This window comes from Homo sapiens, chromosome 5, assembly GCF_000001405.40.
Source record: "Homo sapiens chromosome 5, GRCh38.p14 Primary Assembly".
Classification (NCBI taxonomy): domain Eukaryota; kingdom Metazoa; phylum Chordata; class Mammalia; order Primates; family Hominidae; genus Homo; species Homo sapiens.
The window spans coordinates 118336928-118363959 of record NC_000005.10 but is presented as its reverse complement, the minus strand read 5'-3'; the positions used below and the strand labels follow the sequence as shown (position 1 = coordinate 118363959).

Here is a 27032-nt window from a genome sequence, read left to right as displayed (position 1 = left end):
TGAGGTTAGGTTAAATGTATAAATACAGTATATTCCACAGAAATTAGTGATGGGAAAAGCAAAAACACTGGCATTCAATTATAGAGAAACCATTGTTTTCGTTTCTTGCTTGGATTGTGTGCACAGTATAGAACTTAATAGCAAGCAGAGATTTCCCATGGAGAGTTCATGACAGGCAACAGGTTAGTGGGAGAGACATAGCTTGCACTCCTGCAGCAGTTTGATCAGAAGATTCCTTGCACTCTCAGATGCTCAAGAGGATAATAAACTGACTGGCATAGCAACACAGAAATCTGGAAGATTATATACAAATATAAAATTGCTACGCTACACTGTTTCAGCTAAGCCTCCCAGAGATACTCATATCAGGTGGCACGGATAAAGGACATCATGGTGTTCTGCAAAATGATACACAAGTGTGTCATGTCACACACTGGGAAAACTTAGCCACCTTAAATTGTGAAATAGAAAGTAGGCTATCCTTTCCTTTACAAAAATATGGCTGCCTGATGTTGGTAAGTCCATCCTGTAAGATCTTTCTCCTTTCTCAAGCCCAGAGTTGGAGGATTGGCATACCCTTTGCCTGTAGATTCCTCCTCAGACCAAGAGGGTAAGTAGAAATCCAATCATGATACAGAAGGGTTCTGTAATTTTCAGAGTACACAGGCTCCTCTGAACCTAAGTGGACTCTGCAGTTGTTGGAACAAATACACATATCCTTAGTCTCTTTGGGATTCTCTTTCTGAAGGGTTGGGTATGAATCACTGTGCTGCCTGGGTCCCCTGAAGTCAGTTCTAGCAACTGGTCTCTCCTAACCTGCAGAGCATGAGCTGTGCAAATATGATACAGGCAGAGATGACCCCTACAAAAAAAATGAAGGAGATGTTGGCAGCCCCTAAGAAGAGTAGAAGCTATTACTCCTGGAGATGTTGGGAAGCTGGAAGTAGGTCAGCAATGCAGATGACTGAGGAGATGAATAGAACCAGGAGCAGGAAGTAGGGATGGGTTTACACTTGACTGGGAAAGACTCAGCTAGAGGCCTGTCACTGGACTCCCAATTGCTTTAGAGAAGAAAGTGTGTAACAGCTATAGCAAGGAAATAGAGCTAGGTTGAAGTGTATCAAAGTAAAAAGGACAGGAATAGAATTTTTTGATACAGTGGATTGCTTAAGGAGTGTCAGGTAGTCTGACAAGGAGATGTGACTGGAAGTAAGATCACAAAGAACATTTAGGACTAACAAGACAGCTGATGTGTTTGACCAGTTTATAAAAAAATACTAGAATAAAAAGAAAGATCTCACATTGAAGGGAATACTTTTTTGTCCCTGCAACATTTATTTTAAGTTCTGGAGTACATGTGCAGTATGTGCAAGTTCGCTACATAGGTAAAGGTGTGCCATAACGGTTTGCTGCACAGATAAAGACATTACCTAGGTATTAAGCCCAGTATCCATTAGCTATTCTTCCTGGTGCTCTCCCTCCTCCCCCTACACCGACAGCCCCCAGTGTGAGTTGTTCCTCCCACATGTGTCCATATGTTCTCATTTTCCAGCTCCCACTTATACATGAGAACATGTGGTGTTTGGTTTTCTGTTGCTTTGTTAGTTTTTTGAGGAAAATGATTTCCAGTTGCATCTTTGTCCCTGCAGAATACATGATCTCATTCCTTTTTATGGCTGCATAGTATTCCATGGTGTATGTGTACCACATTTTCTTTATCCAGTCTATCGTTGATGGGCATTTGGGTTTATTCTATGTCTTTGCTATTGTGAATAGTGCTGCAATGAACATATAATTGCATGTATCTTTATAATAGAATGATTTATATATTTTTGGGTATATATAGAAAGTAATGGAATTGCTGTGTCAAATGGTATTTCTGCTTCTAGATCTTTGAGGAGTTGCCACCCTGTCTTACACAATGGTTGAACTAATTTACTCTCCCACCAACAGTGTAAAATGTTTCTTTTTCTCTGAAACCTTACTAGCGTCTGTTGATTCTTGACTTTTTAATAATTGCCATTCTTAGTGGTGTGAGATGGTCTGTCATTGAGATTTTAATTTGCATTTCTTTAATGATCAGTGATGTTGAGCTTTCTTTAATTTTTTTGGCTGCTCGAATGTCTTATTTTGAGAAGTGTCTGTTCATGTCCTTTGCCCACTGTTTTTTTTTTTTTTTTCCAAGACGTAGTCTTGCTCTGTCACCCAGGCTGGAGTGCAGTGGCACAATCTCGGTTCACTGCAACCTCTGCCTCCCGGGTTCAAGCAATTCTCGGACCTCAGCCTCCCAAATAGTTGGGATTACAGGCACCCATCACCGCACCTGGCTAATTTTAGTATTTTTAGTGGAGAGAGGGTTTCACCTTGTTGGCCAGGCTGGTCTTGAACTTCTGACCTCAGCTTGTGATCTGGCCGCCTCAGTCTCCCAAAGTGCTGGGATTACAGGCGTGAGCCATTGTGCCCAGCCCTTTGCCTACTTTTTAATGGGGTTGTTTTGTTTTTTCTTTCTTTTCTTTTCTTTTTTTTTTTTTTGTAAATTTATTTAAGTTCCTTGTAGACTCTGGATATTAGACTGGGTAGATCGCAACCTTGTACTCTTGTTACAGCCATTTGGTTTTGATGTGTTATACTGTCAGATTTAATTTTGCCTTTCTTTCTCTCTTTTTTTTTTTTTTTTGAGATGAGACCTTGCTTCATCACCCAGGCTGGAGTGCAGTAGCTTAATCATAGCCCACTGCAGCCTCACATTCCTGGGCTCAGGTGATCCTCCTGTCTCAGCCTCCTGAGTGGCTGCGATGTTTTCTTTTCTTCTATTATTGTAGAGACAGATTCTTGCTATGTTGCCCAGACTGGTCTCAAACCCCTGAGCTCAAGTGATTTTCCCACCTTAGCCTCCTGAATTACTGGGATTACAGGCATGAACCATTGCTGTGCCTTATTTTTTGATTTTAAGATTTTTTTTGCTTATATGTTTATAAATGAAAATGGTAAGTAATTTAACTTCATTTTTTTCCTTGTTGAATTTTGGTTTCAAGATTATGTTATTTGAAAATGAGTTGGGTTTATTACCTCTTTTTGTTTGTTTTTTTTTTCTGATAAGATCATGTAACAGGAAATTTTTATATCCATTAGTTTTTGGAAGAGATTTCCAATGAAGCCATATGAGACTAAAAGTTTCTTTGTAAAAAAGACTTATTTAAACTACATTCAATTTATTTAATGATGACAGAAAAATTTCAGGATCTCATTCAATCTGTTTCCCTACCTTCTCTCTCTTTTGAGTTTTTGTAAGATATCTTTTTATGGAAAATAGCCCACTTCATTCAAAATTCTGAATTTATTATAAAGTTTTGAAAATATCCAATATCATCTTAGTTTCTATAGTATCGAAGGTGATAATCCCATTTTCATTACTGATATTGGTTATTTGTGTCTTTTTTTATCACTTCCCCCAATTTTTTATATTATAATTATTTTTAATTAACCACTTGTCTCTATTTTCTATTTGTTTTCTATTTGCTTATTCTCTTCTGTTATAATTAGCATTTCCTTTCTTCTATGATCTTTTAAAGTATTTTACTGCTTTTTAATTTACCTTTTTGAGATAAATACTTAATCTTTAAACCTTTATTTCTAATATATTAATTAAAGGCTATGAAATTTTTATCTAAAATTTTTTTTGAAAAAGTCCTACTTTAGTTTCATCCCAAAATTTAGTTCAAATTATTTTCTTTTTCCTGTTATAATTTGTTTTTGATTAGCGGGTTACCTATGAATAGTAATTTCCAAATATGTAGATATTTTCTAACTATCCTTTTCAAAAATTGATTTCTGGCTCAATTATATAATGGCCAGAAGAGTCTTTTGAAATTTGTTGGATTTTGCTTTATAACTGAATATTCCCAATATAAAAAACTGTCTCATGTCCTCTTATAACACATTTATTTTGCAACTGTAAACTATAGGGTTCCATATATATCTGGTAGGTCAATTTACTTGTTTTTGTTCCTCTTATATCTCTGCTTGTTTTTTCTTTCTTTTCTATAAGTTACTGAGAATTGTGTTAAAATCCTCACTGAATTTATTTTTCTTCATATGTAAATCTGTCAATTTAACTTTATATATTTTGAGGCTCTGCCATTAGGAATAAGAACATATATAATTGTTACATCTTCCTGGTGAAACTGAACCTTTTGTAATTATTAATACAGGTACACTTATTTTCCCTTCAGTTTAATAATCCTTGATATTCAACTAAAACATTTAGATCATTTGTATTTACTATAACTACTGATATATTTGGAATTAAGTCTGGCATCTTATTTTATGTCTCACTGGCACTCAATCTATATTTTTTTCTTTGCTGCTTATAGATTACTTATCATTTCATTTTTTTCTTGAACTAGTTTAGGTGTTATATACTTAGTTTATATAATTTTAGCAGTTACACTAAATTTACAATGTGTATCCCAAATCTTAATTCATCAAAGTCTATTGTTAATCTGTATCTTTATTCTCCTCTTGGGTAACACAAGGAACATTTTACCTTGAGTAGCCCCTTGGGGGGGTCTCAGCTTAATCCAGGGTGTATTTTCCTGTGATGCTTACCACCTAGAACAGACTCTAGATAATTATTTCTGCCCTTAAAAGTTTATGATGCTGCCTAACTTTAGCCAAAATTTGTAGATTTATGCAAGTCCCCTAAGGGCAAAAGCAGATATGATCCTCTTAGAATTTGGTCCTCCTGGAATTTGGCCTGTCAATTCTCCGCTATCTGGGCACCTCTTCAAAGCTTTTAAGGTATATTAAAAAAATGCCTGACTTAACAATTTTAATTGACTTTAGGAGGAAAGTTGGTACAATAAAGGTATCCCATTAAAATGGGACAGAAAAGTTATTTTTTTCTTTTCATGTATTAAAGATGGTAACTTTTTTCTTCTGTATTTGTGGCAACTTTTGGAATTTTTATTGAACTTGTTCTTTGGGGCTTCTGCCTTTCCACATTTGCTTAGAAAGATTATTTCATCTCATGATCAGGCAAATATTTACTATTTTTTTTTCTAATTTGTTCCAGTTTTTGATTTAGACTAAATCTTTAAGCCAACTGTAGTTTTGGTGTAAGGTATTTCATATGGAAGAAAATGGATTCTTTTCCCCAGTAGCCTAAAATATTGTCACAATAATCTTTGAAATTATCTTCCAATACACTATTCACTTGCAATGCCTTCTTAAATTTCACATATTAATTTCTTCATTGATATAATAGTCTATACTTTTATTAGAAGCATACTAACTTAATTGTTATACACCTATAGCATATTTTAATCTCTTTAAGGACAACCTCTATTGAATACTCTTTTAAATATCCACAGGAGTACTTTAAAATGGGCAACTTTTAAATATTAATTTAGTAAGAAATAAGAGGAACATATTTATTCATAATTATGGTACAAAATAATGCAATTGGTTTCTTTATGCTTATGAAAAGTGAAATCAGTAATAACACTTTTCAATGTCTATAATTTACAGCATATTATTAGTTTAATGCTATAAATATTGTTGGCCTAGAGCAGACTAGAGGCACACACTGAAGCACACAAATTTATATGATATATACACTTCATTCATTTGTTCTTGTCTTGAAATGATAAAATAAGATCCGAATTTTTCTCATTGTTTGGATTTATAAAAATAGAACAAAATATAGGTTATGCAAACTTAATTTTAAACAAATTATGCATTACAAATACCAGTAAAGAAGGCTTCTATCATCTAGTTTTAAGTTCAGCAATAAAATGCATTTCCTGAATTTTTGATTATTTTTAGAAGGTGTGATGTACCACTCAGAGAACATATTTATTAAGAGAGTATTGTCCATTAAGACAAATAAGAAGAAAGTCAAATACAGATAATTTAAAAAATTAATTGACTGGTTTTGACAAGAGGTTAATTAAGAAATCTTGTGCATTGGTAGCACATATACTAACATTGGAAAAAATCTATTAATGTTTATGTGATTAAAGAAGATACATTATTTTTATCCAGGCTGACAATTCTGACATAATATTTTTAAGATATATGAAAACATAGCATAGAACGTGGTCTTCACAATAATTTTTAATTTAATTCAAGAACAAATGTGTTCCAGGTTGCTTTAGATGTTCTCTGATAAAAAAGGATCCAGTAAAAATTATGATGGATGTGTAGTCAAGCTTACATCATCATTTAAAAACATTCCCATTAAGTTATTTGTCTGCCATTAGTCTTAGATTTTCAATCAATTTAAGAGCTCTAAGGAAAGTCAGAAATTCTCTTCTTGATATTAAATTTATTCAGAATTTTTTTAAGATAGTCATTTATACAAAGGCTTTCTGCATTGGCCCTGAAGTGACTGCACTGTGGTTACCGTGGAGAAATAAGACAGTGATAAAGGAAAAAATTTTCTTCAAGTATCGGCATATTCATTATCTGTCACAATCAGAACTTCTAAGAAAATGTGTTCCAACAGATAACATTTAGGCAAAGATTATATATAAGAAAATGAGATAGCCAAAAAGCTGTCCTGTAGATCAGAAGGCATATTTATTGTTTCTTATAATTGTAAAGGTTAATACTATTTGTGCCACTTTAAAAAAGTCACAGATTCATGTCACTGGTTATCTTATAAAGCTTGGAAACCAAATATTTTTTAAAGTCCCAGTTAAATATCATTCTATAGAAATTTGGAAACATACGATATTGAGAAAGCAATACTTTAATTTTTATATTGGGGATGAGAACTCATTTTGAAGAAGTATATGCTGCACCACAAATGTTTGTATTTGAAGTAATTAATATCAAGGCACATACAGATAGGAAAGAAGAAAGTGTTCCATCAACTGAAAAAACTAGGAAAATATGTAACCATAATTTTAATCATACAGAATCTTCCTGACTGAGATCAGTTAGCTCTTTTGAACAATATTATCTTTGCTTTTCTCAACTACATTTGTCAGAAAAACCTGATGTTCTTAATTAATTTTTAAGAGGTCTCAATTACATAATGCAGCTTAGAAAGTAGCAATATATAAACTGACATCTTGAAGTTCCCAGGGCTTCAGAGAAGTAGTTTATGCTGTAGAGGAGATCATTTTTATCATATACCACACTTGGTGCTTATTCCTTTTATACTTTCCCTTTGACTGGGCATTATAGACATCCAGCTATCTCTCTGTGCAGGGTGTCAGACTCTCAGATAGCCGCAATGAGTGTGAATCATGTCCTGTAGATAATAAAAAGGCAATTTTAAAGTAGTGAAACCAAGGTGATGTTAAAGGAAATGCTATAAGGAATTGTAAAAAAAATGAACAAAGAATTGAGGCTTGGAGCATAGAGCTTGTATCTTTGAACTTATTGAGCACGGTTTGTGGGAATTTACTGAAAAATCAGAGATGCTGTGGAAAGGCATGGTCTTAGTTTACTGGATACAGAACTACAGAAAAAACATTTATATTACAATATTTTAAATGGATAAAACTATACATGATAGTTTATCAAAAATGCATATTTGAAAATCCAATACCTTGCTCTCAACAGAGATGTATTTGGGACATAAAAACCATTAGTTAGAAACTTACCCAATTCCCTACTGATTTTAAAATATCAGAGTAAATAGTAAAATATGTACATATATGCATTTGTAACACCTGAAATTCCATGCATTGCCTTGACATTTTGAGCCTCACAAGGTTCTAGGAACTAGCTATGAGTTCCCTGGTCTTGGCAGGTATGCCTTGCTAGCCAGCAAAATTATTCAAACAAGCCAGGGACATTCTCCCATGGGAACCAAGGGTTATCTTACCCTCTTGTCACTGCAAAGCCTGCTTCCCACAGCCCCTGCTTGTTCACTCTACTTGAGTGTAACCCCCAGATGGGGCTGCATGGCACACACAGTGTTCTTCTCCCCGAGGCTGTGAGTACACGGGACTAATAAACTGCTGTTGATCTCATCTGTCCAATGCTGAGTGTTGTGTGCTTGGATACCTGGAGGCTTATGGGGCATGGTATCCATCCTTCATCAATGGGGGTAATCAGATTAGCTTGTAGATAGACGCTTATAACAAGTGTTCATAAAAATTAGTTTTTAAAAAGTAGTCTTTCTTCTTAGAAGCTTATCCTTTCCCAAATGCATGCTGGCAGCCCTTTCAGCTTTAGCCAAGACCAAATAGTCTCTAGGAAGTTTTTGTCTTGTTGCCACTTTTTGCAATGATTTGTGTTAAATTCTCCCAATGCATTGCACCATACTATTCTTTTTCTGCCTATAATACATAGCTCATTAAGTTCTAATTCAATACTTCAGCAAAAATGGAACAATAGAGACAAAACAGGTGAAGAAATCATAATCATAATACTTTTTGTAATTTTTCCTTGAATCCAGTCCAAATTAGATTGGTTAGAAATCAGTTTCTAAGAAGAAAGACTACTTTTTAAAAAGTAATTTTTATGAACGCTTGTTAGTATTCAGTGGAGCAGAACTTTGTGACACTATATGAAGAAAATAAATCATTCTCTATTTACCAAAGCTTATAGTTACCAGTGACAATGAGAATAGGAATTAAGTCCATAGATTACAGGTTGTAAATTCAAATAATGACAGGAACCAGGCAGGTAATTAAATGGGTGAAGTAGAATAGATGGTGATCTAATTTTAAATGTTGGCAACTAATTAAAATGTTTAAAAAATACTGTATAAGCCAAACAAAACACATCTGGGGACCACATGTCCAAGGGTGACCCTAAAGCAATTTTAAAAGTCCTGGTCATTCTTCAAGGCCTGCATTGTATGCCTGCCTTTTCAAGAATCCTATTATAGCAAAGGCAGTCTAAGTTAATCCTGACCTTCTTGGAGTTTTTTATTGAGTTAGTAGTCAGAAATACAACCATAGTGCCTTTGCTCTCTCATTGTTTTCTCAGTGGGTCTTTTATTCCCCATGACACTGAAGGGTTTTGGAAAGAGACCATGTATTATGTTCCTCTCATTCTCCTCATGCTGGCAGCACTTTATGAGTCATCAGTAAATAATGATTATAATAGTAGCTAATATTAAATAAGGCTCTTTTCATGAGTCAAACACATTTGCAATAGCTTTTCCATATCTCACAGCAATCCTGTAAGAGCAGTGTTACTATTACCCCATTTGACTGAAAAACACCTGAGGCGCAGAGAAGTTAAGTGACTGGCCAAGGTCATAGAGCTGCTGATGGGTGGAGCTAGTAACCTGTGCCAGGCTAATGCTGTAGCCATGTTCTCTTAGCCACTAGGCTATGAATATTAATTAATCCAACATAATTGCCTCTAGCTAAGAGTTTTAAACCTTTTTGTACCAAAATGTTTGCCATAGTTGTTAATAAGTCTTCAGATGGCAGGCTAAAACATTATTCTGTTTTATTTTCATTCTTATTCTCTGTCTTTTATCTATTTTTGAATCCTAATAAGAAATGGAATATTAGAATTAACACAGTCATGCTCATATGATGTCAAAAAAGCTAGGTAATTTGTTCAAACTCTGTTCAAAATTAAGCATAGCATCAGTTAAATTGATCAGTCTCAATTTTGTGTGAGCAACTGGCAGTTTAACAACCAAATAGGAAATATTGAAAAGTTTTGTGAAAAGAACTTATGAGGAAAAAAGTAATGTCCTTGGTGGTGAGGAAATTTCTCTTCTGCAGTTGGCTGCTGTGAATAAATTACTGGTAGGAAGAACAGAGCAACAGTCTCAGGGTTTTTTGTACTGTGGGTATTTCAGTGTTTGACTCTTGCTTTGTTACTGTCTTTTCTCTGCATAGAAAAGAAACTATGCATTGAGCAATCCCAGTGTGCATTCAGTGTTATACAAATACTTGATAATCACTTATGAGAGCAAGTTATTCTAAGAGATGGTTTTACTAACTTTTTTACTAATTTTTCTTTGATCACATAATAGAGTTCATAGTATAATACTTAAACAATGGCTGTGTTTTTCCTCTCTGAATTTATGATGAAAATTTGCCCTTCATACCCATTCATGTATTTTCTGGTATGTTCAGACATGACTAGAAAATTGGTTGTCTCTCTGGCCGCTGAGAAAAGTCTTAACAGTTTGATTTTCAGTGCTAGGAGGTATATACTGTAGGGAGCTATAGAAAAGCAGAAAGGTAGAATCTTTGGTCTTATCTATCCCAATTCCTTTCCTGGCCAGAATAACTTTAAATCTGCCTGTGCAGCTGCAGACACATGAGGCACGTGGCCTTTGGACACAGCCCTTTGCATGCCTGCAGACATATTGAAGCTTCTTTGATGTCTGTCTTCAAGGCTTCCCACTGGTGCTGAGGCTGAAATCCCACTTCCCACTCCACTTCATGTATCTGCAGTGAACATTTCACCACCAACAACATAGATTTCAGCCCTTCTGCTAGCAATCAAACCTTTTCTATATTAAGTCCCAGTCCCTCAGGACTGTGCATTCTTTTAAATGGTAATAGGTGCTAATGGAATAATTTGATAGACTAATCTCTGATAATGTTACTCTTCTCAGGTAAAAGTCCATTTTAGCCTAGTTGAAATGCACATCACCTTTAGGTGGTCTTTAAGGAGTGACAGGAAGATTAGAAATACGTGACAGACCAATCAAGAGGAGATATTTTGGTGAGGGGGGGCCTTTTATAACTCTACAACTTATGCCGGCTAAGTGTACAGCAGCCCCCCAAAACTCTTGATTGAATGTGCCCTGATTCATATAGCAGTGAATTGGTCATTAATCTCTCTCTCTCTCTCTCTCACACACACACACACACACACACACACAACTTTTCTCATCCTTTCTCTCTGTCTGTCTCACATACACACACACACACACACACACACACACACACACACACACCCTTTCTCATCCTCTCTCTCTGTTTCTCTCTCTCTCTCTCACACACACACACACACACACCCTTTCTCATCCCCTCAGGGTATATAAACATTAACACACTTGCAGACTAACTGTCTGAAAACATAGCAATGAAAAGATGTGAATTCAAATAGCATAACAAAAAGTGAATAAAAAATGTTATCCAGTGTCATTTGGCATAAAAAAAAGCTTTTACTGGGCACAGTGGCTCATGCTTGTAATCCTAGAGACTGGGGAGGCTGAGGCAGGAAAATCGCACGAGTTCAGGAGTTCGAGACTAGCCTGGGTAATGTAGCAAGACCTCATCTCTTAAAACTAAAAAAAAAAAAGTCTTTTAAAAATTCATCACTGAAAACTAGTATTAGTTAATATATGGTTTTATCAAGGAATATCTACAGAATTCAAACTCTGCATACAGAGAAGGGAAACTAACATGTATTGTGCTCCAACTATGTGCCATGTCTCCTGCCTCTTATAACATTTTACGTAATCTCATGCATTAATTCTGTGAGGCAGGTATTGTTATATGCATTTTTGATAAGATGAAACTGAGACTCACGGAGACATGGCAACATGTAAGATCATACAAAGAAAGATTATGTTCAAGATTTGAACACAGATGAATCTTCCAATAATATACTGACAGATAATCAAGAGTGTTTTCAGAATGTGAAGAAAACGCATTAAAGAGCTGTGTCATATTTATAACACATGTAACTATCCAGATGTTGAAAACATAAACAACCCTTACAGATAGATAAACATTAAAGTCCAAAATAGAACAGGCAAAGGGAGAAAACTGATGAATCATAAAATAAAATAGGCAATATCTGAACACACATTCTACCTTAGTAGCAGGTAAAGAAATTCATGTTAAATAGTGATAAATCACAATTTTGACCAATTAAATTGATAGAATTAAACTTATATATACAAAATTCTAGAAGGAATATGGTAAATTGTGCATAAATGGTAATGGATAATTTGATACCTTTGTCAACATATGTCAAAAGCACATGATCAAATTTTCTTGCTCAGATAAATCTTCCCTATGAAAAGAAGGAATCATATAAAAGTTTATGTATAAAGATGCATAATCAGATCAGGCCCCAAAACTTTCAACAACCAAAATATTTCACTGTTGAGGAATGGCTACATGTATTTTGCTATGCCCATCAATGAATGTTATGCCATTATTTAAATGGTCACAAAACAAGGTTGAGTAAAAAAGAAAAGTCCAGTAATATAAAGTCCAGCACATTAATGTATAAAATGCTAGATATTCCTACATCCTATAGGAATCCTATAAAATGATATTTGAACAATGTTCATGTGTCTGAAGATGCTTTTAACATTCAACTTTACATTTCTTTGAATTTTTGACAATTACCATGCATTATTTTTAAAGTGTTTGATAGTCAAATGTGATGGTAATGAAAGGAATAAGTCTACATGTGCCATGACAACATCAGCCTTCAGTTTTCTGCAAGACAAAGAGGCAAACAGATCTCCAGTCCTGCTTTTCTTCAATTACCAGGTGTGCTACAACAACATGACCCCAGCAAGCAAGATTATTTCTGTGCACTGATAGGAAAAGGAAGCAAGCCATGAGTGCCTGTTGAAGCTGGAAAAGCAAGATTGATGTTGAGGCTTGATTGAAGGAGTGCAAGGTCACTCACAGAAGAAGTCATGGTGCAAGAGTACATCTCAATCCTGCCCTAGCCTGGAAACAGCATGCTCTGCTGCATTTGCATGCCCAAGGCACTGCTTGTCCTAAGCCCCATCCTAGAAACTCTCTATAGCTTTATTTCCCTTAAGAAGGTAGAAAAACATCAACAACCTATCCGTACTAGCTGAATGGCCTCTAGGCCTATTGGGCAAGTACACCCAGATGAGCATCACTCTTAAGTGGCTGCTTCAGGTCAAGGTCTTTTGTGTTGGGGCAGCTGCAAACTGGCCTCTTTGGCTATCCCAAGACCCTCTAAGTCCAAGGAGCTTTCAACCTCTAGTGATGTTCAATCTCTGTAAAGCTGTGTAATGGGGGATAAACATTAAAGTTGTTTCACATTTAAAAAAAAATGTGTGAGAATTTTGCTTCTGACCCTAATGGAGTGACAGAGATGGGATTTGCCCATTTACCTTAACTAAAAATCCAGACAAAATATATCTAACAATGGGTTGTAGAGATAGGACACGAGGGACAACAGGGTATTGATTCCTGAGAGGGAGAAACAATGTGGGTACAAATGACTGTCTCATTTTGCCTCTTAGAGAAAGTTTTCATGTCATTGTGCAGAAAGAGGGAAGGCAAGTGAAATACAGTGGTTTCTATAAGTTGGAGAGGCAGACTGTCAGATTCCATGAGGCTTAGGTGGAAATTTTGGGGGTAGAGTACTAGACAGGGAGGAACATAAAACAGCACAAAACAAATTTTACAAAGAGAGTTTTCCTTGAGTCTTCGGCTGATGCTGATAAGTGTACACTTCTGAGGAAACTACTTGAGGCCAGGGAAAGAACTGCTAGAAAGGCAGACAGAACAATTTACAAGGCTTGCACAGAGCCATGACTAATTAACGTTCTTCTAAATAGCAAGGAGAGACTTTGCAATGCATAGGACAAAAGGTAGAGTACTCAGAATGGCCCTTGATAGTGGTTCAAGTTGTTTAGAATAAAACCCACTTTGATGTCATCTAACAAAGCTTAAAATAAAGCCTTGGAAGAATTAAACTTACCTGCATTCCAGAAAAAAAGTTAAAAAATATTTAAAGGAATACAGAAAATCCAATACTCAATAAGGTAAAATTCACAGTGTCTGGCATTTCATCCAAGAATACACAAGCAACAATGAGAAAAAATAATACAGAAATGACACAGATGATAAGAATAATAGACAAAGAAATTAAGAGTTACTAGAAATGGATTCTGTATATTCAAGAAGGTAAAAGAGAATGAGCATATTTAGAAGATATATAAAAGACATGAAACAGATGCTGTTTTAGAGATGAAAAACTACATATCTGAGATAAAAATATAATAAATGGAATTAATAGCAGATTAACTATTAGACATTGTAGAAGAATACTTACTAGATATGAGGACATTATAACAGATACTATCCAAACATAGAGTGAAAAAGACAAAGAAATCACATTAGTGAGCTGAGCTAACTTCAGATTTTCTAATATATGTGTAACAAGGAGTTCCCCAAAGAGAAAAGTACAAATAAATTATTTGAAAAATAGCTCAAGAGACCAAGACAAGCCAAAAACTTAGAGAAAATAGTTGCAAAAGACCTATCTGATAAAGAACTATTATAAAAAATACACAAAGAACTCTTAAAACTTAACAATAAGAAAAAAGTCCAATTAAAAATGGGCCAAAGATCTTAACTGACACCTCACAACAGAAGATATGCAAATGGAAAATAAGCTTATGAAAAGATGGTAACATATGTCATCAGGGAAATGCAAATTAAAACAAAAATGTGTTACCAACAATAAGATACCAATACACACCTATTAGAATAACCAAAATCAAGCACAATGACAGCACCAAATGCTGGTGAGGATGTGGAACAACAGGAGCTCTTGTTTATTGCTGATGGGAATGCAAAATGGTATAGACATCTTGAACAGCAGCTTGGCAGTTTCTTAAAAATTAAACATACTCTTACACTCACGTTCTGTTACATCAGTCACACTCGTTATTTACTCAAATCAACTGGAAGCTGATTTCCCTACAAAACTTGCACATGAATGTTTATAGCAGCTTTACTCATAATTGCCAAAAGTTGGAAGAAACCAAGATGTCTTCCAGTAGATGAATGGATAGATAAGCTGTAGTACATCCAGGCAACAGAATATTATTTAGCACTAAGAAAAGGACCTATCATGCCATGAAAAGATATGGAGGAAACTTAAATCTATATTAGTAAGTTAAAGAAGCCAATATGGAAAGACCGTATGATTCCAATATTCCAACCATACTGTATGATTCCAAGTATATGACATTCTGGAAAAAGCAAAATGAGCAAGCTAGTAAAAAAAGATTAGTGGTTGCCAGGAGTTAGCGGGCAGGAAGGGATGCATAGGTGTAGTAGAAAGATTTTTAGGTCAGTGGAAATACTCTGTATGATACTACTTTTGTGGATTCATGTCATTATACTTTTGTCAAAACCCATAGAATGTACTCCACCAAAAGTGAACCCTAATGTAAACTACAGACTTTGTGTGGTACTGATGAGATTTATCGATTGCAGCAAATGTTCCACTGTGGTGAGGGATATCCATGTCCATAGTCAGGGAGGTTGTATGTATAGCAGGGGCAACAAGAGATGTATGGAAATTCTCTTCATTTTCTGCTCAATTTTCTGTGGACCTAAAAGTTCTCCAAAAGGGCTTACTAATTTAAAAAATGATTTTTCCCCCAAATTTGATAAAAGTAATAGACTCAGGGATCTGAGAAATTCAACAAAACACAAAAACTAAACCATGAAAATTCTGATAAAATTGCTTATCACAAGTGATAAGGAGAAAATCTTGAAAGCACTCAGAAAAAGTAAAGATATATTATGTACAGGCACACAAGATAAGAATAAAAGCAGACTTTTTTTTTTTTAGCAGTAATGAAAGCCAGAAAAAAGTGAACCAACATCTTTAAAGCATTGAAAGAAAGAAAAACCTATCTATATAGAATTCTATATCCAGAGAAAACATCTTTCAAAAAGAAAGATAAAATGAAGCCTTCTTCAGAAACACAAAAGCTGAGAGAATTGATCAGTAGCAACTTGTACTTAAAAAAATGATAAAGAAAGTCTTAAGGCAGAAGGAAAATGCTGCTAGACACACATGTGAGTATACATAAAGGAAGGAAAAGCACTGGAAATGATAAAGTGGATAGATAAAAGACTTCTATGTTTTTCTCTGTTATTTAAGGTCTCTTTAAAAATAGAGTACAGTGTTTCAAATTAACAAGAATTAGTAATAAGAGTTAATATTGAGTTGTGGAATTTATAATATATGTAGAAGTAAAATGAGTGACTACAATAGGACAAATGCTGGAAGAGGAAAAATGGTTGTGTGCTACAGCTCTTTTACTTTTTATAAAGTAGATTAACTTTAAATGGGTTTTTGGTCAAGATTTGTGAAGCTGGACACCAAATGCATGAACTATAGGAAAAAAGTCATTAAATTCTACTTCATTGAAATTAAATTCTTTGTTTTCCAAAGACATTGTTACAGAAATGAAAAGGCAAGTTATTGACTGGGAAAAATATCTTCAAAACATATATCTGACAAAGGACTTGTATCTAGACTACATTAACTACATTAAGAACTCTTACAACTCAATATTAGTAAGACAAAAATCCAATTTCCAAATGGCTGAAAGATTTGAACAGACACTTCACCAAAGAAGATATATGGATATTAGATTAGTGCTTTCAAAGTTGCTCAATATCAATGGTACTTCATGGAAACATAAATTAAAATCACAAGTAGCTACTCTTACATACCCTCCAGCATCACTAATATTAAAAAGAATACTTATTTCAAGTGTTGGCAGGAGCACAGAAGTGGTACTCAATACATTTCTGGTAGAAATGTCACATGGTAAGCCATTTGAAAAAGTTTGCCAATTTCTTCAAAAGCAAAACATACACTTAAGCAAATGACCCAGACATTCTCCTCCTAAGCATTTATCCAAGAGAAATGAAAGCATTTATCTATATAAAGATGTACATAAGTATTTATAACAGCTGAAAACTGGAAACAATCTGAATATTCATCAGGTGGTGAAGGGATAAATGTTCCATACAATAGGAAACTAATCAAAGAAAAAAAAGAATGAAATTCTAAAACATACAACACCATAGATGAATTTCAAAATGATTATACTGCTTGAATGAAATCAGATGCTGCTTCCTTTTGAAAATATGTAAATATTTTATGATTCCACTTATATAAAAGTTTAGAGAATGAAAGCCAGTCTATAGGACATAAAGCGGATCAGTAGTTGCCTGGAGAAGCGAGGGGGGTCATAGAAGGCTGCAGAGATGGATAAGGAACAAAGAAACATTGGTGGTGATAGACATATTTATCATCTTGATTGTACTGATGCTTTCATGAGTGTATACATAGGTCAAAACTAATCAAATTGTAGCCTTTCAATAGGTATGGTTTCCTATATGTCAATTACACCTCAATAAAGCTGTAAATGTTTAGGGTGCCAGATAAGACTTTCATAGAGTGGGGTGGTCCTTCTGGAATATAGCTACCTGAATACACTGTAAAACGCCCCTGAAGCTGGTTAGCATCTGCGTTGGGTTGGACTTTCCAGGTTTAAAACAAGGGATGCCCAGTGAGAGAGTTTCCTTGTAGGGAATACTAAGACTTTCTGCTTTTAGCATTGTTCGGGATTTGACTTTTTGAAGCAATCTATAGTACTATTTAGTTTAATATGCACTACATCCCAATGCTTTGCAATATAGATTATCAGAAGGAAATAAGGAGGATTATTTGTAGATTAAACAGCAAGGTAACACAATATAGCTACCAGGCACTAACTTTGATAGTCATCACTTAAATCCTAGAACATAGATGATAAAGTGTGAGAAACAATCTAGAGCCAAAAATTATGAAGAATGCTTTTCTAGAGCCACATATAAAATTAATCTCATTTAAAAGTATCTGAGTATGTCCATACGGAGTCACAATATGCCAGTTGATATTAAGGTGGAATAAAGAACAAACATTCTGCTGTTTGGAGTATATTTATTTTATTGAATAGCTTTTGCAAATAAGTTCTAAAATATTTTAATAATAATAATTGTAATATCTTAAGCTCTTCTAAGAAAATTACAATGTTTTGTTACCTAGGAGAAGATACTGAGGGGACAGTTAAGCCTTTGTTCCTTAACTTTACTAGTGGAACAAAACTTAAGGAGGGACACCTTGAATTCAGCAAGTGAAACTTGAATGCTCTTTTCTTTGTTTTATTATGTCCCATGTTTTTCAGAGTCTTCACAGTTATACATGATAATCTTAAATCCTCACAAAATAAAATGAACAAAGAGCGCCTAAGAACATATGGAAAAACCTAAGTGACAAATCGCATGTGATCATGAAAATTACTGTGGGTATTTTTGCTATTAAAAAATGGGAATAGAAGTAAATAAGTGTAGTATATTCCCCAAGACTATTGGGAATGTTTATAACTGCCTTAAACACACACACTAAGTATGAAATAGGTTATTCAGTTTGTTGTGTGTAATTATACAAATTAAAAATTTTTACTCAGGAAAATAACCACAACACTACCCTTTACAAATCTTAAATATTTTGTACGTATTTCACCCTTGTATCATATATGTCATGCCACAAGCTGTGGGTTTATGGCAACTGAAAGCAGGCACTTCTGTACAAAATACAATTTACTTATGTTGATTTTGTCAATTTTGATATTTGATGAAAACATATTTTTAATAGAGAAAACATTGGGGGTGCAAAAGAAAAACTCATTAATTTCTTTTTTTGGAAATTCTCTGTTCAAATTTATGGCATAGGCCAAAAATCTAGAAATAGTGAGACATGTTTTCTGTGTAAATCTATATGGTAATCTCATATAGTTGAGAACATATATCTTATTAAATCAGTCTTCATAAAATGACTCTCAGCTATTTCTTACAAGAGATGCAATCAGGGATCTTTATTGTAAAATTTTTAGCCCATTAAAGTAAATTATATCTAACTGGCTTAAATTTTATCAAGGGAATTTATGAGATCTCTTAAGTTTGTTATAGAACATCCTTAAAATGCATTTGTAATTATAAATATATTCTCAAGAACATAACAATGAATTCATGGAAAATCAAAGACATCAAAAATACATTTTAAGGTAAAAACTGTAATGTGCTCCATGGGATAAAACTCTTCTCCTGCCCACCATGATATTGAGTACAATGTTGTCCAAATATATAGGCGAGTACAGTTTAAACAGGCTTGCTTTGCCACCATGAATTGTATTAGTGTTCTAATCATTTATCACGTCCATGGATATGTTCAGAAATAATGGCTAATTAAACAATATATTCACACAGAATATTGCAGAATATTTTAATGAGGCAGAAAAATGTCAACATCTCAATGGGTGATAGGTTTTGTTCAGAGCAGCTGGAAGTTATGAATTGCCAATTAAGAAAACTTTGGTAATCTGGGTAATCTATGTTGCCTGTCCAGGATTTATCTGAGTTTGGCAGCCATAAATTTGGAAATAGAATAATGACCTGGAGGGTTCCCTTATGTTGTATATTTGTATAAAATTTCCAATTTCATGTTTTACAGATTAAATGAACCAGCATAAAACTCAACATCAAAAAGGTGAATATTATTTTATTAGTAAAGCTCACTATTTTGGTTTATCAACGCTTTTTTTTTTTCTTTCTGCACAATATAAAGTGAAGAAAAGAATTAAAATGAACAGTTGACCAGTTAATTTAATCACTATACACAGTTCAGGTAGTTAATCTAGGTTTCAAAACAAATTGTTCTCTCCCAAAGAAATGGATGGCTTGATGGCTTGTATGAGAAGTAGACTGTATAAATGTAAAATAAATTAAGTTTGGGTTGTCTGAACCTGATTTCACCAGTTGTTCATTTAACAACCAATTTTGCAGAATCCACATAAATAAACGTGTTCACTGAAGAACTTACATGCAAAAAAGTGGTAAAAAGTTTCTTTACATGAATAAATTATTTTGGTAAAAAACTTTCCTAAATGGAGAATAAGGGCATCTGCAAAGTTTTGCTTTTGTGACGGCATTTTATGGGTACAGCTCTTAACATTGCAACTAGACTCATAACATTTTTGATACTTTAGACCTGGAAGACATCTTATTTGATTTCTATATAAAATTCTGGTCTTAGTTTACCAGAAGGTAAAGATAGAAGGAACAGAAGACTATTTGGGAGGAAAGTACATTAATCATAATATTTAGAAAGACAATTTATTCTGATAAACTAAATTGCTGTCATTAAAATGCATAAACTCTGACATTAAAATTCTGCTCTCCACATGGAAAGTATTTCTGTCCTTGGACCTTGATCCAGTTGTTACAAAAGAATACTATAAAAGGATAGTAATTACCTACTATACTTTGTCTCAGTGTCCATTTTTTCCCACTGAGGGAATGGCTCCAGTGTCACCTGAGAATAAAACCTCTCTTATTTACTAATGAAGCCTGTATTTTTCCCTTTTGTAGTTCTCCCCCTTACATATGTGGCACCTCAAATTTTTTATACTTCCATGCTATCCTGCTGTGAGAAAGAATAGTAATTACATCTAATTAGAAAAGATTAAAATGCTATGATTCATGGAAATAATGAAACTTGATTATGTTTTATACAAGGCATAAATCCCAAACCTACATTTTACACTGAAATTAGCATACAACCTGATCAGCAGCATAAAAGCAGTGTTGTGAATGTTCATTACATTGCTTGTTTTGCTAAATGCACTTTCTGTCATGTCTCAGCCTTACCATGATGGACCCATCTTCCCTTAGGCAAAAAGAAAGAGGTCAGTTTGTTTTTTCTTAAAACCTGGGTTTGCTTTATAACATATTAATTTTATTTATTTGGGGTATGTTAAGTCAAAGTAACATGTGGGAACTAGATATGATATATGGTTGATAAAGAACCAACAAACACACAAACACCTTCGTTTTCCCGTTTAGCAGGCCCCAGGACCAAAACATTGTTTTCAATTTCATTAAGATCTTCCAGGTTAGGAAAGGTAAAATGCAACCTAGAGACGATAGTTCTCTTTTAAACATGAGGATTTTTTTTTCTTTTTCTGCATCACGGACTCAGCATGAATGTTCATTTCAATTATAGTCCAGTTCACAAAGATCCCTCCTGCATGCAGGCATTGTAGGAGAACATATGCAGTTTTATAATGGAACAGAGGGAGACATTACACACAGATAGATTTGTGCCATAAACACATACGGGCATAAGGGATTGTCTAGATAGAAAGCGAAAAAGAAGCCAACATAAAAACTTCAAAAGGATTGAATTGCAACTCCAGAAGGCAAGAAGTTCTCATTTATCTATCTACCTATCTGACATGAAGATCATAACTTTCTGAAATATAATGTATTAAATGTTTTCTAAGTCCAACGATAAGATAATTCTGATAATAACTTGGCATAGCATGAACATTGTCCCATTAATCTCAATCAGATATCCCCTTGGGAAGATAAGCTGCTTTTACTCCACTGGTAGGTATGTGTGATCTGCAGCCATGTGATGGGAACCAAGTCTGTGGTTGTGATAACTATGAAAATGAATAAGATCAGAGACTAGGAGGTGTATTTGTGTGATGGGACAGTGTTTCTGGGATCTGTTATCAGTATGTAATGAAAAAAAGTTATTGAAACGTCTGTTATCCACTTTGTGGAAACAAATAAGATTGAAAGCATGGAAAATGAATGTACGTACAGAGATGTGAGTTATCTTTAGGGGCAAACATTGATAATATTACTCCACTGTGAATGAAAAGGTGAAAATATTGTGCCTTCTTGCAACTGGGTAAAGTCCATTTTAAAAAGGAACAATTCTAATGTAATATTTGTATGCTTACTTCTTTTTCTGTTGCTTTTTTATATGAGGTTTCACTGGAAAAAATGCATATCATAATCACAAACCAAGATTAGCATTTCATAATGGATTGTGTGAGGGCCATAAAACAGAAATAACATATTATTCTATTTTGGAAATAAAATGAGTAAACATTTGCTCTCAAATACTCTCATATAAAAGTAGTCAGAGTTAAAGTGCTTCCTATAGCATGTATTTACTTATTTGGGCCTCTCTCAATATTCTCCCTTTTATGTAAATTTCAAATACATTTTATAGTCATTCATTATAACCATTCCTTTACAAGCAGTCTTGACCTACTTGTACCTCTCTTGCTTTATCGTACTCATCTGACAAAACTACAATGCTGGCAAAATCCAGCTCTTGCCCTGTTCTTCCTCTGTACCTGTGCAGATAAATGAGGCTACGGAAAACAAAAAATAAAAAAACACAACTCTGCTGCCCTTCCCACTGACCACACAGGTCAAATGCTCATGCCTGGGTCCAGTCCTCTTTCCACTCCTGTTCATCATTCCACACCTCCTCCCTCTCTCAAACCTCCAAATTTTGTTCCATCCCAGATGATTACCTTGCTTCCTATTTTCCTGAGAAAACTGAAGAATCAGAAAAGATATCCCACAGCCTCTCCGTACCACTCATTGCCGCCTTTTGGTAAAATAAACTATCTGAGTCGCTTTATAAATTCTGTCCTTTAAATTTTTGTGCATATCAATTCCATCTTAGCTACTCAAAGACATGTCCCCAACAATTCCCTCCCTCTCTCCTATATCATAAAATTTCCCCTCTCTACTGCATCTTTTTTTTTTTTTTGAGACGGAGTTTTGCTTTTGTTGCCCAGGGTAGGGTTTAATGTTGCGATCTCGGCTCACCACAACCTCCGCCTCCCAGGTTCAAGCGATTCTCCTGCCTCAGCCTCCCGAGTAGCTGGGATTACAAGCATGTGCCACCACGTCTGGCTAATTTTTTGTATTTTTAGTAGAGACGGGGTTTCTCCATTTTGGTTAGGCTGGTCTTGAACTGCCTACCTCAGGTGATCTGCTCACCTCGGCCTCCCAAAGTGCTGGGATTATAGGCGTGAGTCACCGCACCTGGCCTCTACTGGATCATTTTTACAGGAATGTACTATTATAATTTTACCAATCTTACAAAATCTCCTTACTTCATTTCCTCTACCAGTTAACATCTTATTTATTTGCTCTCCTTTATAGCAAAATTCCTTGAACAGGCTATCTACACATGTAGTGTACAATTCTGTACACTAAATCTTTCCAGCAGAGCAAATGTGTGTTTGCTCCAGGCAACTTACATCTGCTGAGCTCCTGTCTTGGTCAGTTCAGGTTGTTACAACAAAATACCATGAGCTGTGTGGCTTACAGTCCACAGAAATTTATTTCTTACAGTTCTGGAGGCTGGGAAGTCCAAGATCAAGGTACCAGCAGACTCATTATCTGGTGAGGGCCCACTTTCTGGTTCATGGACGGTGCCTTCTCACTATGTCCTCACATGGTGAAAGGGGTGAGAGGTCATTAGTGGCTCTTTTATAAAGACACTAATCTCATTCATGAGGGCTCTGCCTTCATAACCTAGTCACGTCCCAAAGGCTTCACCTCCTAATAACACCTCCTTGGGGGTTAGAGTTTTAATACGTGAATTTTGTGGGGGACACAAACATTCAGACTGTAGCAGGCTCTTGGCCACATTTAGCTTTGGTTCTTATATCCACACTATCTGTAGAAGGCTGATGTGTCAGGGAGAAAGGAAAAATAAATATTATATAATACAATATTTGGATTGCGTGGTCTTTCCAGCACATTTGCCCTATATCCTGATTGTTAACAGACTCCATCTCTTTCTTCTTGCTTTTCATTATATGTTTTAATGGATTCAATAAAGCAAGAACTTTGAACATCTTCATTTGGTCGTGAGCCTTCCTGTTTCATAATATTTGGTATAGCTGCCTTGTGCTGTGCCTGGAGGCTACCACTACTTTAGAGTGATTTCTCTCCTGGAAACAAACAAACAACCCAAAAAGAACCTATTCTACCTAATATTTTCTTGTTGAAGGGCCTTAAGGCTCTCTCCTTTATACTTTTCTGTATCTACACTCTTTGCCTTGGTGATTTCATTCATTCTTGCAAGTTTAAGAGCCATCTATATACTGATGCCTCCCAAACACATAGTTGCAGTCCAGACTCCTCTATTGTACATTCCATCTTCCTATTATACATCTCTTCAGTGTCTAGTAAACGTCTCAAACCCTACATGTCAACTGACTCCTAATGCTTATGCAAATACCTATTTGACCTATAGCCTTTCAATCTCAATTAATGGCAACTCTGTCTTTTCAATTCCTCATGCTAAAAGCCTCAGAGTCACTGTTGTCTCTCATCTTTTTCTTATAATTCACCTCCAGTCTCACCACATTGTCACTACCCAGATCTATGCCACCAGCAATTCTCTTCTGGATTATTCCAACAGCCTATGGCTGGCTTCTCTGCATTTCCTCTTCCTTAACACCACCATAGTCATTTTCAATGTAGTAAACAAATTTTTTAAAAATGTAAGAAAGGTAATGCTGCAACTCTCTCCGCTGAAGCACTAAAGAGGTGCCCCATTTTGTTGAGGGTAAAGCCAAAATCTTTTCAAGCCTCTACATAGTTTGGCCACTGGACTATAATCTTTCTGATTTCATCTTCAATTATCTTCCCCTGTCTAACTCTGCTATTTATCTTCTCTTTGATTTTCTTTATGATTCCTCAAGTGCACAAGGTCCTTGCATTAGTTGTTCCTCTATCTGGAGTGCTCTTCTTTCCAGATAACTATGTGGCTAAGTCTCATCTTTCTCCAGCCATTGGCCCAAAATATACATTCTCAGTGACATCACCCCTGAGCACCCTATTTTAAATTATAACTTGGTTCTTGCCTTCACATTCCATCTCTCTATCCTGCTGTATTTTTCTATTGCTCTGATCAAAATATATAATTAACTCATTTTAATTTTTGTCTGATCTCTCACCCTAGAATAACGCCCCTAAAGGAAACAGATCTTTGTTTAGTTCACCAAAATCAAAGGTTCTTATATTTTATTGTACAACAGAATCACCTGGAGGGCTTATTAAATCATACATTGATGGACCCTACTACCAGAGGTTCTTACTCAAAATTATTTTGCGGGGGCCAATAATTTGCATTTCTATTAATCTCCTAAGTGGTACTAATGCTGTTGGTACAGGTACCACACTTGGAAAACCACTGACCTAAAAAATTCCAGGCACAAGACAAATGCTTAATGAAAGGCTGTTGAATAAATGAAGTTGTATCTTATTTTAATTTATATTTTTGAGTACTGTTGGGATTGAATACTTCTAATATGCCAATTTGCTGTTCGTGCTTCTTTGTTTGTAAATTCCCTATGCATGGCCATTATCACTTTCTTATTAGGATGTTTATCATTATTTATTGATGATAGTTTTATTTGCCACATTTTTAGAAAATATATTTCTCGTTTTGGCTTCTGTCAATTAATATTGTTTATGATTTTTATGATGGCACTTTTTAATTTATGCTATCAAAATTACACATTAATATGTATAAATTTTCACTTTACATGACTTTATATCTTAGCCATTCCCAAGCTAAGATTATGTACATGTTTACCAACATTTTCTTTTAGTTTCTTTATGCCTTTTCATTTTTAATTCAACTCCTTAATTCACATCCTATTTCATATACAGTGCTTGAAAGGTCCATTAGTCTAACTTTCTATATATAAGACAATAACTGAAAGTTACATTATTATACCTTTATGGTAGCTTTTACTACCATGTAGGACATTTTTTTCCTTATTTATTTATTTATTTTTATTTGTATAATTTTAAGGCATACAAGAGGTCTTGTTACATGGATATATCAGACAGTGGTGAAGTCTGGGCTTTTAGTATGACCATCACCTGAATAATGTACATTGTACCCATTATGTAATTTATCATCTGTCTTTCCCCTCCTACTCTCCCACCCTCCTGAGTCTCCAGTGTCTATTATTCCACACTCCGTGTCTATGTGTACACATTATTTAGCTTCCACTCATAAGTGAGTCTTTTACTTTCTGTGTCTGAGTTGTTTCGCTTAAGAGAATGGCCTCTGGTTCCAACCATGTTGCAAAAGACATGATTTCATTCTTTTTACAGCTGAATACTATTTCATTGTGTATGTGTGTGTACATATATATATATGTATATGTGTGTGTATTTGTGTATATGTATATATATCACATTTTCTTTATTCATTCATCCATTGATGGACACTTAGATTAGATTGATTCTGTATCTTTTTGATATAATGATTTCTTTCCTTTTGGGTAGATACACAGTAGTGGGATTGCTATATCAAATGGTAGTTTTAAGGTTTTTGACAAATCTCCATACTGTTTTGTAGAGGTTGTATTGATTTACACTCCTACCAACAGTGTATAAGCACTCTTCTTCTGCAGTCTTGCTAACACCTGTTATTGTTTGACTTGTTAATAGTAGCCATTCTGGCTGGTGTAAGATAATATCCCATTGTGGTTTAATTTGCATTTCTCTGGTGCTTTGTGATGTTGAGTATTTTTTCATATGTTTATGAGCCATATGTATGTCTTCTTTTGAAAAAAGTCTATTAATGTCATTTGCCCACTTTTTAATGGAATTATTTGTGATTTTGTTTTTGTTGAGTTCCTTGTAAATTCTGGATATTAGTTCCCAGTCAGGTGTTTAGTTCGCTAATATTTTCTCCCATTCTGCAGGTTGTCTGTTCACTCTGTTGATTATGTCATTTGCTGTGCAATAGCTTTTTAATTCAATTAAGTCCCATTTTTCTATTTTTGTTTCTGTTATTTGTGCTTTTGTGGTGTTAGTCATAAATTCTTTGCCCAGACCACTGTCCAGAAGAATTTTCCTTAGGCGTTCTAGTGTTTTTATGGTTTCAGGTCTGATATTTAAGTCTTTAATCCACCTTGAGTTGATTTTTGCATGAGGTGAAAGATAGAGGTCCATTCTTCTGCATATAGCAGTCGACTTTTCTCAGCACTATTTATTTAAAAGGTGTAGTTTTCCCATTAATGGCAAAAACCATAATTACTTTTGCACCAACCTAATATGTTTTAGCCAATTTTGTCAAAGATCTATTGGTTGTAGATATGTGGCTTTATTTTGGGTTTTTCCTTTGTGTTCCATTGATATTTGTCTATTTTTACACCAGTACAATGCTGTTTTGGTTACTATAGCCTTGTACAACTTGAGAACAGGTAATGTGATACCTTCAGTTTCATTCTTTTGCTTAGAATTGCTTTGGCTATGCAGGCTTTTGTTTGTTTGTTTCTATGTGAATTTTTAGGATTGTTTTTTCTAATACTTTGAAGAATGATGTTGGTTTTTGATAGAGATTACTTTAAAATTGTAGATTGCCTTGGACAGTGTGGTCAT

At 34.8% G+C, this 27032-nt stretch overlaps 1 long non-coding RNA gene across 1 annotated transcript in view; it reads left to right on the top strand.

Annotated features, from left to right (window-relative positions):
* Positions 1-12994, top strand: part of LINC02208 (long intergenic non-protein coding RNA 2208) — a 211152-nt gene extending 198158 nt beyond the window's left edge. Inside the window, exon 10 of the long non-coding RNA NR_104610.1 lies at positions 12453-12994. This is a non-coding gene — a long non-coding RNA (long intergenic non-protein coding RNA 2208). The remainder of the gene's footprint in view (positions 1-12452) is intronic.
* The last annotated feature ends 14038 nt before the right edge of the window (positions 12995-27032 follow it).